The sequence below is a fragment of the Homo sapiens genome, chromosome 16 (genome assembly GCF_000001405.40).
Source record: "Homo sapiens chromosome 16, GRCh38.p14 Primary Assembly".
Taxonomy (NCBI): domain Eukaryota; kingdom Metazoa; phylum Chordata; class Mammalia; order Primates; family Hominidae; genus Homo; species Homo sapiens.
The window spans coordinates 80258744-80271908 of record NC_000016.10 but is presented as its reverse complement, the minus strand read 5'-3'; the positions used below and the strand labels follow the sequence as shown (position 1 = coordinate 80271908).

The window sequence follows — 13165 nt, the reverse complement described above, 5'->3', positions numbered from 1 at the left end:
GGAGTAAATGCAGTGACCAATGTGAAACACCTCAATCTGTGGCTGAATCATTAATAAGCCTTCCCTCACTCTCCTGGTCTTCAGAGCATCATCTCAGGCACCCTACAGGCCAGTTAAATGAAATCAAAGTTGCCTTGCGCCTTCTCTTTAGTAGCCACACTTTCAGTTATAATAGTCTTTCAGGAATTATTGTCCTATCGCTGAATTTCACGGGAATGTTTTTGGTGTTTCACAGGGAAGTGCGATGTTGGCTCGTGATTTAAGATGGTGTTTCCTAGGCCTGCTGTAACTAGTATCATAAACTGGGTGGCTTAAAACCATGGAAATGTATTTTATCACAGTACTGGTGGAGGCCAGAAATTAGAAATCAAGGTGTCTGCCAGATCGGAGCCCTCTGGGGGCTCAGAGGGATAAAGTGTCCCAGGCCTCTTTCCCAACTTCTGGTGGTGGCTAGCAATCCTCGGCATTCCTTCTCTTGCAGATACGTCACTTCAGTCTCTCTCTCCATCTTCATGTCACCTCCTTTTCTGTGCCTCTGTCCGTTACTGTCTTTTAAAAAGGATGCTCTCATTGGATGTAGGGCCCACCTTAGCCCAGTGTGATCTTATCTCTGTCCTTACCATAATTATACCTGCAAAGATTATATTTCCTAAAATCCTTTAAAAAAAAAAGCAGGAAAAAGAAAACAAAAGTAAAAAGTATAAGTGTAAAACAAAAAGGTAAAAAAAAAGGAAAAAAGAATAAAACAGTAAAAAGTAAAAATAAAATACAATTTTAAACAATTTTTTAAAAATTAAAAAGAGTCCTCATTTCCAAATAAGGTTGTATTCTGATGTTCCAGGTGGACATAAACTTTTGCAGAAGCACTATTCAACCTATTATAGATGGATACTATTTATGTTGTTAAGAAAGTATTTAGATAAAATGCTCTCAGCATTTGGTGCTTAATATTATTAAATATCTTTTTGGCTTCTTTGAGGTAAAAAAATTTCCTTTTCTTTGACAGATTGAAGAGGATCACTCGTGATTTATCTCCCTAATTATTAACTGATACTTTTATTATGATATGAGTATTCCTTAGTATGTAGTATTCTTTAAATACACTGTAAGATTATGTTTGAAAATCCATTATTTAGAATTTTTACATTTATGTTCTTAAATGAGAGTGAATTGCAGTTTGTCCTTGGGAAGATTTTCAGTGCAGTTACAGAGTCACATTCACTTCTTAAAACAAATTGGGAAATTGTCTATCCTTTTTATGTGTTCTGGATAAGGTTATACATTGTGAAAATTAGTTAATTCTTGAAATCACTTGCCTATTAATCCATTGAACCCAGGGCCATTTTATGTAAGTGACTGCATAAAACTTAAAGATTCTATTCAAATAAATAGTTACTGATCTAGGCAGATAGATCAATTTTAATAGCGTACTAGAAAATGCTTTAACATTTCACTGTATTTTTTAATTTTTCAAATTAGTAGAATTTCTTAGACGATTCTGTTTTAAAAACTCTGCCTTGCCCCTCGTATATACATTGTACTTTTGTGCTCTCTTTCCCTTTCACTCCATTTTTGTGGAGGATTACTTGACTTCGTGGAGTCCATTTTATTTTCTGCCGTGCCACATAAAGGTGTCAGTTATTCCATACACTGATTAGTTGTGTGCTTTTTCTCTTTATTAATTTACTAAGTTATTGTTACCCGTATTTTCCCCTTCACCTGCCTTCACCATGACTTTCATAGGCTTTATTTTGCAACTTAAGAGAAAAAAAGATAACAAACATGTTTGTTGATAAAAATAATATAAATAATATAAATATATGTATACTATATACAACATAATATACATATATAATATTTAAAGTTTAGAAACTTATTTTTATTTTTATTTTTTTGAGACAGAGGTTTGCTCTTGTTGCCCAGGCTGGAGTGCAATGGTGCAATCTCAGCTCACTGCAACCTCCACCTCCCGGGTTCAAACAATTCTCCTGTGTCAGCCTCCCGAGTAGCTGAGACTACAGGCATGTGCCACCACGTCCGGCTAATTTTGTATTTTTAGTAGAGATGTGGTTTCACCATGTTGGTCAGGCTGGTCTCAAACTCCTGACCTCAGGTGATCCACCTACCTCGGCCTCCCAAAGTGCTGGGATTACAGGTGTGAGCCACCACGCCCGGCCTAGAAACATTTTATATACCTAATATTTAAACACGCTTCACATACATATGTGTAAGTGTATAAAATATTTAAAGCTTTAAACTTGCTTCCAGCTACAGTGTTTAACACATCACATGTGGATTTATTTGTCATATACTGGCACTTTATATTGTATAATACCTATATATTTATAAGTATAGATACAAATTTTAATTTTGGTCTTTCTCTGACCCATGAAATATTTAAAAGTGTACTTGCTCAAAATGATTGCAAGTTTTGCTTTAATCTTTTGCTCTACACTTCTAATCTCATTGCTTTTTAAAAATTAAACTATGGTATTTGCAGGAATTGTGATTTTGGAACTTTATTTAAATAATCAATTTTTGTAGATATGCCAGGGACATTTGAAAAAAAAAAGGTATTCTCTATAAGTAAGACATAAAATTATTATATACCTTTTAAATCATTCTTACATATTAAAATGTTCTATATCTTAATTAAATGTTTATCTACCGGAACTCTCAAAGAGTATTACTTAATATTGTTTTATTTAGCTAGCTATTTGATGAATCATTAGTTAGAGGCCAAGTTGGTTAGTCTCCTTAAGTTGTTTCTAGGAGGCATTTACGGCTGCAGACAATAACATCAGTGGTGAATTCATATCATGCAGATATTTTGGTTAATTTCTACTTCTATTTCTAATGATTTTGATTTTCTGTATTTTGAGTCTATTTTGCCTATAGAGCTGCATGACTCTTATGTATCAAATTTGGATAATTGAATTGCCTATGGAAAATGAGACTGTTGCCTCTGCTCTTTAATGCATTTTATTTTTAACTGTACTTTGTCAATCTGATATTTAACTTCATCCCGTTTTGCACTCCTTTGTGATATCAGCATTCTATCGTGGAGGTATCATACGCTAACATTTCCTCAACCCCTCACGCTCAGTGTTGGAAACTTTCTAACAGAGCAATGATTGAAGGCAGGACAACACACAACAGTGGTTTCCATCTTTTACATGATGGACAATTCATCCCCTCCTATGTTTTTCTGAAGAAGCTCTTAGTGAGATAAGGGGATCCCGATGACTGCTCTTCTCAAAGTTGGTCTCTCATGCCCTGGTTCTGTGGGTCTTTCTGCATTGGGCTGCAGTGCTTTGAGGTGTACACAACCCAAAAGAAAATTACTATAGGACCCACGGAGAATGCATTGTTAACATCTGTTTGCAATCTGGCCCCGGTGGCCAAATGTGATTTCTTTGGAACTCATTGCATTTGGGAAAACTTTTCCTAGAAAAAAGAAATAATAAATCATCCCACCTCACCACTCATTATTCATTCATCAAACTTTTACTGAGAATCTTATATGGATCTATGAATAATCCAGGCCTAAATAGAGAACAGTCAGTAAGACAGATAGGGCCCATGCCCTTCCTCATGGGATGGATAGCCCATCCCACTGGAAGATGAAAGAGGAAAAACTGCAGTTGTAGGCCACCTGTTTCCTAGAAGCACACTCCCGATGGGGAGAGGAGGTGGAAATGGACTGCTACAGTTCCCTCGCATCTTGGAGAAGACAGTATGAAGAGATGATTTTTGTGATGAGGAACCGCTTGTGAGGAAAGCGATGTGACAGAAAGTGTCATAGCCTTGGGCTAAGAGAAAATCAGCAATTAGCCAGAGAGAGACGTGCCCCACCCCCCAGCCCCCCACACACAAAATTGAAGATGGAAAAAAAATTTCCTTAATTTTTATATATATGCAAGGAAAGGGGAAGCTGTGGGGAGTGACGTCCCTTGCCCTGGGTACAAATAAGACTACAATCCATTGACACGTCCTGGCAGACTGAATTGAGAGCACTGGGAAAGTCCTGAGGTTACATTTTTCTTTTTGAAGAATGCTGCCAAATTGCTAATTTGGACTCACGTTCTTTTTCTGCAACATAGCTTTCTCTGACCTCGAAGGAGCTTGAGTGTAGGCAGCTGAGTGTCTTAATGTCTGAGAATTGCCAGCTCTGCTTCTCCTCCTGTAAGCTCTTGGGTGGGTTAGTCCATAGGGTTAAATGGCTCACTGCAATTCAGCAAAGTGGGTTTTACATGCAATTAATGTTTGTTAATTTTGTTAAATGTCAAAGTATACATTTTTTTTGGGGAAAAAAAAAGTTCCTGCAATACAACCTTCACCCCCAGCCCCTTTAAATATCGAAGAGCAAGATGTTATTCTCAAACAAATGCAGAGGCCATCATATTCAGAGTCTGCCTGAAACTGAATGGAAGATACCTTAGTTTGATGTCCCTCTTGGGAGAAGAGACAATAATATGTCAGCACATCTGAGTTTAGAGTCAAAATTAAGGGGACAGTGAAATTGCCTTTACTACCTGGCCCCTGAAGAAGAAAGAAGAACTTTGACTCAACTATTGTACCCCTTGTTTGAGTCTGCATCTTTTTTTTCTAATATTTTGATAGTTCTCCTTTATGCATCATGTGTACTCTGGGATTTTTGCTTTTTTATTTTTTTCTGATCTTGGTTGTGTCCATATCTATATATTCTGGTTCTGTTTTTTAGGTGCTAAAGGTTCAGAGATTATTACTGTATCCTCTTTATAATGACCTTTTTTATTACATAAAGTTTATGTATTTAACGTAAAATATACACTTAATGTAACATATACATAGTAAATATACACCGTGGTAAAAATATAAAGAAGCTAAAGCACTTGATTCTTCAGTCTTGACATATATCTGCTACTAAACTGAAAAATGATTGTCTTTTCCAAATTCATAGGGTAAAAGTAGATTTAGGAATCTCCATCTTAGAATTTCATCAATAGTCTTACTTTTCTCCTTAAGAGTTGAATCTCTGCTACAGCTCTGGGCTGGTTAAACTGTGTTTTATCCATGCACCTGGTAGAGCTTAGGTGTGGATGTCCTAGGCATTTTTAATTCCATGTCTTGTCCTCTTTTAAGAAAATAATTTTCTTCGTACAACTGCTCTCTCTTGCATTTCTGTGATACAGTGCTGTGATCAAGTTCTGTCTGCCTCACTCACTGCCTGCTCTCCCTGCTGGATGGAGGAGGTTAGCTGAATTTTTTCTAAGCCACAGCCATTTATTCCCTCTTCCTTCTGTTGCATCAGTTGCCTTGTACACATCACCCCTTTCTTTTAACCTAAGAAAGGAAAGACCTCCAGGACCAAGATGTTGTATCTATGGAGACCTGTTTTAGTTTGCTCCTTAGGTGAGAGAGACACAGTTCATCCTGACGGCTCTTCCATACCATGAAGGATTCTGAAAAGCCAGCTGATCATAAAATAAACCTCTTATCTTTTCTTGACATGTTCTCTGTTCAGTTCATTATTAGAAATCTATGACAACGGCTTCTTGGTGATTGTGAGCAGGGCCAGCTACATGGGTATGTGGCTTGACCAGTTGCACAGGGCCCCATGCTTAGGAGGGTCCCACACTGAGTTTAATGTTCTGTTATCACTGTCTTAAAACTCCTTAATAATCTTTGACCAAGAAGTCTCATGTTTTTTATTTTGTTTTGCCCTGGGTCCCACAAATAATGGAGCTGGTCCTGATTTTTGGGATAGGATTCTGACCAATCCTCTTTGCACATCATCAACCTAGCAAATGTACTTGGCTAATACATGGGAGTTTCCATCCTCCTCATTTTGAGAGGGTCAAAGACACATATGTTCCTCCCTGGCCCTTGGGAGGACATGTTAATATTCCCCAGGGTTCAAAGGGAAGAGTTGAGTTCAACAATGATTTAACTTAACGTGCCAAAGAGCTTACAGTTGCAATGGGTGGTGAGCTCATTCACTGATAACAATGTTTTTATGAATGGAAAGGAGCAAGGTCCAAGGTACTTTTCAGTTCCGTGAAAATCAGTAATGGCTTGTTTGGGAAGCTCTCTGAATTTTATGGCCTTGAGGTCCTTGAGAGTGACATCATTTGAGGTTGCTATGAAGTTTTATGTCTCACTTTTACTTATGCAACTGTTTGCAGTCCTTTGGTTGCTCCTTCTCTCAGTGTCATGCAAAACTTTGCAGAAATGACCTGTGAATTTGATCCAAAGAATGTATCATTGCTACTCAAGGGACATGCTATGTACAGAAACAAGACTATGGTAAGCCAACGGAAGAATATTTTTCTTTTGTTTTCCCTTTATCTATCTCTGTCCTGAACTTTAGTTGGATCTCCATTGCCTATAGGAAAGAAATATGCAGCAACCCCTTCCTCAGCTAGGCATTCAAAACAAAATTTGTTTTTCTATGGAAGTCGCTAACTTCAGGGACCAGGGAGAACACTTTGCCAGAACTGAAGAATATAAGTTATACATTCTCTGGGAAATGTGGTCAACTTGGAAATATGGCCAGTTGGACTTACATTTAAGCATGAGCAGAGAGGTTAGTGGAGAGAAAGAATAAGCTAGCTTTTCATCTTAGAGGCATAATCCACAGTCTCTCTCTCTATGTCTTTGATTTTGTTTTGTGTGTGATGAGATTTTAATTGGGCTGATGAAGGAAAGAGGGTAAATGATCTCCCTCCAGCAGAATGCACCACTGTAGTATTTCTATTTAGTGGGTTTCACTCTGGGCAGGATTGTGTGTGTTTGTTTACACTTTTTGCTTTTGTTCAGTTCTTGAATTGGTGGAAGAGAAATTCCTTTTAAAACATGCTACACTGGTCTAGATGCACTGTCTGTCCTAGCAATGATTTTCCCTTTCCAAGGATGGTATTGTGGAAAGAACCTTGGGGATGAAGTTGGGAAGTCAGGATTCAAGTCCCAACTCTGCAAGTAGCTGCCAACCTTTCTGCATCTCATTTTCACCATCCTCAAGAAGAGCTGGGGTGAAGTTTACGAATCCCGTAGTGGCTGTGATGACTATAGGATAGTCTGTGAAAACTCCCTAACCTAGTGTCTAGCACACAAGAGCTGTTCAAATTGTGCTGAGTTGAACCAGAGCAGAGGTATAACTCTGTGTTGGTGTTCTGGTTGTTATTAAATGTCCTTTTAGTAGGAAACTAAATTTGATCAGATTAATCTCCATTTGCCTAGTCATCCTCCCTGTGAATTTTGTAAAAGAGATATAGGTGAAAATAATTGTGAGAAAGAAACCACAAACTAACGTAATTAGTATTTGCACCTAAACCTCAATGCAAGGAAATGTGGTGAGATGGAACATGCAGAAATCCATTTTACTAATGTGGTTAGGCTAAAACATGTTCTAGAACAATATAACACACTCACCAATCCTAGAAGAACGTCAACAGAGAGCAAGAAAAAAATCTGCTTGCCCCAGCCTGCAGCGGAGTAGCACTTTTAAGACTAGTTGACAAATAGACAGGGCAAGATACCACCAGCCAGCCTTCAGTATGGGACTTAGCCTTGCCATATGTGAAGGACAGAAGACAGAGAGAGAGAGGGAGAGGCAGAGTTAGAAGAGGAGGAAAGGCCGGGCATGGGGGCTCATGCCTACAATCTCAACACTTATGGAGGTAGAGGTGGCAGGATCGCTTGAGTCCAGGAGATTGAGAGCAGCCTGGGCAACATAGGGAGACCCCATCTCTTTTTGAAAAAAAAATAAAAAAATTTTATTTTTTAAAATGGGAGGGGACATAGTACATATATGGAACACTCAAGTGCATAGTGACCTTGCAAACAAACAAACAGAGCTAAGTCAAATATTGGTTCAGATTCTGGCAAATCCATAGCAAAGCTTTTCCCTGGAGGAAAGGGACATTTCAAAGAGCAGAGTTAGAAGAACTTTACCTTCATCCTAATGGTGTTCCGGAGGCCACTCCTTGAGATTTGATTTGGTGTCTCTCAAGGGAAACTTAGATGTTGATCTTCATGGAAGACTCTTGTAGGTCACACTCATTGGGGGTCTTTCTTTTTCCTCCTGAATAGAAAAGGGACACATTTAGGCTTTCATGGAATTCCAAGCTCAGATTCCAAGAAGAAAATTGCATTTGTTCATGTAATAAATAATAATACATTTGGACCTGGCAAACACTAGGCAGAGCTGCAGAAGATATATAATACAATTAGCCCTTGCTAGGGTTGCCCGCCAACAATGAGGCAAGATTTATGTGTTTGCTTTTTCCATAAGTACAATTTTATTTGATAAGTGCAGTCTAAAGATATAAAGAATTAATCCAGGGTCTGCATTGTGGGATATTTCCTCTGTAATATTAAAATAAATATTACCCTTCTATCCAATTACATGAAATTATGTTAATAATATCTTCTTTGTTGCTGTTGTCTGCCTGTTTCATCTTTGTAGCCAAAGAGTTTATTAAAAGCAGTGACTGGCTTCCTTTCAGAAAGAGGTAGACTTTTTTTTTTTTTTTATCATCCTAGTCAGAAGAGCACAATTATTTCTTTTTAAAAGAAACACTCTCGACTGGCACGGAGGGTCTGGTGACTCCCAGGGCTGGCTTTCATGAGACAGCCTTTGTTCTAAACTCCTATATCTGCTAGCTCTGCCCTTATGGCAAACCTGAACTTTTAGGAATAGCAAAGTCATATTCTGCGTTGAATGGGTGTGTGGGGTTGAGGGTATACAGATGTGGGTGGGGGTGGGTCTCTGATCAATTTAAAGGATTCAGTCCATACCAACTATCGAGACTAAGCATTGCAGGATGAGGGGGCAAAGTTTAGGGGTGAGTTATTTTCTCAAAAGTCCAACGTTACACCCAGCCATTAGTTGTCTTTACTGGAGGCTGCTTATTAAGAATTTATTCTAGACTAGGGATGGCATATACAGTCTCTGCCAAGAAACATAGTGCCTGGAAGAGAAAGCAACAAATGAGCTAAAAATTAAAGTGCTCAAAGGATTCAGATAGAGATAATATGGTCTCCTCATTCACATAGACGAATGCACACTTGCCGATTGCTGGATTTCAATCAGAGCTGCTAACAGTGTGGTCCTTTGTCCAGTGCCTGTCTGCAAACTACTGGCTACCCATCCATGGTAAGAAAAGCACAGAAATTGAGAGCAAACATTTAGAAACTTCTAGAGCAATTTGACATTGACATCTTATATCCGTGTAATCTAATAGTAATAAAAAGCTAGGGCTAGGTGTGGTGGCTCACGCCTGTAATCCCAGCACTTTGGGAGACTGAGGTGGGCAGATCACCTGAGGTCAGGAGTTCGAGACCAGCGTAGCCAACATGGTGAAACCCTGTCTCTACTAAAAAAAAAAAAAAAAAAAAAAAAAGCAAAACAAACAATAACAACAACAACAACAACAGAAAACAAAAATTAGCCAGGCATGGTGGCGGGCTAATGGGTGTAGTCCCAATTACTTGGGAGGCTGAGGCATGAGAAGTGCTTAAACCCAGGAGGCAGAGGTTGCAGTGAGTTGAGATCACACCACTGTACCCCAGCCTGGGCGACAGAGTGAAACTCTGCCTCAAAAAAAAAAAAAAAAAAAAAAAAAAAAAAAAAAAAAGGCTGGGCTTGCATCTTGCATTTTATTCTTTTTGTCATATCACATTCTCATAATTAGTATTCATTGGAAATACAATGAGCTGGGAAAAAAAGAAAAAGAAAATTCGGTGTTTTATCAGATCATTTGAGAAGCACAAGTCCTAGCAGATACTTTGTCTCCTTTATTTTGGTATTCACAGAGCCCATGAAAAATACTTAAAACACTGCAAAACCTCAGTAAGTCCTGGTTACCCTGACATGAGCTTTGAACATCACCACAAAGCCTTCTCTCACCCCTAGCTTCTGCTGTTGGGGAGAAGAAGAGTGAAAAGAAATGAGGATTTAATGCAGCATCCTGTGTTATTTGCATATATGTGTATACTGAGCCTTCACAAAAATCTCTTGAGGAAGCGTAATTAGAGCCATTTTACAGACGAGAAGAAACCAAGGACACACAGCCTGCCCAATTCAAAAAGGGCAGAGCCAGATTTCAAAGGCAGGTTTCAATCCAAAGGCAGGTTTTTCTCTTTCCAGACTCCCCTTGCTGAGCTGAGGCGTTCAGAGAACATGTATGTGTGCCTGCTACACTCCAGGTATGGTGTGCAGCACCTTGCAGGCACTATGTCGGTGATTCCCCCGGAAGCCCTCTGAGTGTATCTAGCTCTTCTACAGATGAGAACTTGAAGTCATGGAGAGGTTAAATGATGGAAGAAAAACCAAGCCAAGCAGGGTCTGACGTCGATTCTGTTCGGTGAGAGGAACTATGGCTTAGCAGTTTATTTCTAAGGTTTTAGAGTTGAACAAACTGTGTTCATTTCCAGCAAGTGTAAGGGATGGAGTGACCGTTATGTACAGCTGTACAGGCTGTGCACCACACAACATCAAGGGTCACCATTTACATTGTTGTGCATGTAATGGAGCTTGTGCATGGCACAACCTGCGTGGCTGAATCAATAGGCCCAGCTGGGAAAAGCTACTGAGTCTGAACCCTGCTGTTCAAAATTGTCCCAAAGCACAGGCCCCAGAGGCACTCTCTGGAAAGCATGGAGCTCTGCCCTGCTCTTAGCAGTGAGAATGCTTCTACACACCCCATGTTGCCCTATTGTCCTGCCCTGGGCGCAGGTCACTGATCAGAAACAAAGCGAGATGAGCTTGTGATATACCCTTTGTTGGACCTTTAATCTCTGGCCCATTGTGCTTTTATAACATGTGAAAGTAGATTATGGGCTGTGAACCACTGTAGAACTCCGTTAGGTAATGATTGAAATGTAACAAACGCTGCCAATTGTAATAAAGGAAGAATGAGGTCATAGGAAAACTTACTCACATTTCAGCTACTAGTTGCAAAAGATCCATATTCCCTTAGAAGAACAAGCATTGGTTCTTACTGATAACTCTGTTGCCTTCTCTTAGCAAGACTTAGTATAGAAATGACAATAAATGCTAACAAATGAAGGAAAGGAGGAAGAAATAAAAAGGAGGCAAAATGATTGAATAAACGAGGTTGCAGGGATAGTAGAACTGGGAGCTTGCCGCCTGGCTGTCATATGTTTGGAGTGGGAGGTAGCTATCGATGTGTGATGGTGCCTCTTTATGTGTAAATTACTTGTCATGGAAGCCAGTGTTGATTGTGCCCAATGATGTGCCAATCATCTTGTTTCATTTAATGCTATTCATTTAATTGCTGTTCAACCTCACAATGTAATAACTGGTCTTCATTTTACAAGTTAAGTAAATGGCTGTAGGTTCATACTTTTAAGTGACAAATACAACATTTGAACACAGACCTGTATGACTCCAGAAACTACACCTTTCTGTCATATCAGTTAAGGCAAGCAATACTTCGGGGCATAAGTGTCTCTATGCCCCAAACTTACATAGAGATACTTAAACTTCCTTTTTTTTTTTTTTTTTTGGAATTCTGGGCTTTTCAGGGGGATTGGGGTTTTCTCCTTGTACCTGTGTTTAGGTTCTTATCTTTCCTGAGATACCCTCTTCTCCACATACCTGGGGAGGTTCTTGCTGCAGGAGGGGGAAGGGAAAGCAGAATTAAGGGTGGGTTTTGTGATGCAGCTGGCTCAGGTCCAGGTTTTATTCCAGCATCAAAGTATTTCTGCTGCCTGTAGGGTCTTATTCTTTGATACAAGGGCTGAGTTGGCTGAGAAGAGCTATTGATAAATCAAGGTATGCAAGTCAGAAGATTCAAATGAGAACTCTCTTAGAAACAAAGAAAAGGGAAGGAAGGAAGGAAAGGAAGGAGGGAGGGAGGCAGGGAAAGATAGTGAGAAGAAACCTTCCTGAGTTTATCACTGAATTATTGGATTCATCTTTTCCTTCAGTGATCAATGGTAGAAAATACTTGGGACAATTAAGATTCAGGGTAATTCAATAAGAGAAGGAGTATCATGTTCTCGTCCTGTGATTTGATGCCATTGGATAGTGAGTTGGGGTCACCAACAGCTGTCTTGTGTTTTGTTGATGTGGTTAATTTTATTTCAAACTTTTGGAATTCCAGGGAATGGGTTTAGAGAGGGAAGTGGCTTTGGGGAGGAGGGGAGGCAGGCACGGTATGCAGGTCAAGGAGGTCAAGGGGAGAGGAGACTTGTCGAGTGTCAGCTTTGTTCAATTGCAACCTGTCAGCTAAGTGCCACGGCTTCTGCCAAGGCCTGGAGCTTTCCCAGTGGCCCACATGTCACCTCTAATTTGACTTTATGTTTCTGAGGGATGGCTTATTGGCCCCCTCCCCCTATTCTCTTGCTTCTACACAGGTTACTGAGTCATCAGCATCCATCCCTTTCACTGCCGGAATGGCGGGATAAGGGCAGACCTCCTGGCCTCTGTGGCCACACGGCATAGAGGGCCCTGTGCTGAGTCCACAAATGGGGCAGATTGACAGTCATATAGAGCACCCCTCCTCCCTGCACTGCTGAAAGAAGGCAAGGCCCTGGGTGTGGGATATTTTCAGAGGTGTTTATTTACCCAACAGTCAATAATTTTAGGATTTTAAAACAATCAAAAGAAAGTAGCCCGTTATGATGAGCAGGTCTCTTAGTCACTGATGCCGCATTTACCCAGTGTTGTCAGAGAGCCTGGAAGACCCAGGTATCTCAATTTCCCATGCTCAGTATGGACGGGGGATTTGAACATAATGGTATTATGGTTCATTTTCTCAGACTACGTTTTAAAAATGTCTCTTAGAGTTTTGTAATGTTTAGCCACATGACAATGTCATCTGAGATTTTGACGGTGTGCTCTTAATCCTGAGTTCTTCTTAAGGATTGCAGAGCAGCATGGAAACATGCCCCCGTATTCAAGGCTCATGTTGTTTCCTGCTTGGCTTCTGCAAAACCCACCTCTGTTTCTTGCTAGGTGGGTAGATTCTGGGCAGGTTATCATCAGAACCATTTCTTATTCCTCTAATTGAGAAGCTGGGGCAAAACAAAGAAAACCCTCTTGTTGTCTGGGGTGAAATTCTTTCTCCAAATAACTCAGGGTATCTGAGGCCTTTCTAACTCTTGGGTTTTAGCTCCTGGGAAACTTTCTGAAAAAAATCTGCTGCTGTTGGGC

General features: G+C 39.8%; 1 long non-coding RNA gene across 1 annotated transcript in view, besides 2 other annotated features; it reads left to right on the top strand.

Annotated features, from left to right (window-relative positions):
- Positions 1–13165, top strand: part of DYNLRB2-AS1 (DYNLRB2 antisense RNA 1) — a 407178-nt gene that overhangs the window by 291227 nt on the left and 102786 nt on the right. The gene's annotated exons all lie outside the window — the stretch shown is intronic.
- Positions 5923–6217: an enhancer, noted in NCBI's record as "tiled region #10573; HepG2 Activating DNase matched - State 5:Enh". NCBI's record gives its function as "activates a minimal TATA promoter and a strong SV40 promoter by Sharpr-MPRA in HepG2 cells {active_cell/tissue: HepG2}" and the evidence as "EXISTENCE:reporter gene assay evidence [ECO:0000049][PMID:27701403]".
- Positions 7743–8037: an enhancer, noted in NCBI's record as "tiled region #10203; HepG2 Activating DNase matched - State 5:Enh". NCBI's record gives its function as "activates a minimal TATA promoter and a strong SV40 promoter by Sharpr-MPRA in HepG2 cells {active_cell/tissue: HepG2}" and the evidence as "EXISTENCE:reporter gene assay evidence [ECO:0000049][PMID:27701403]".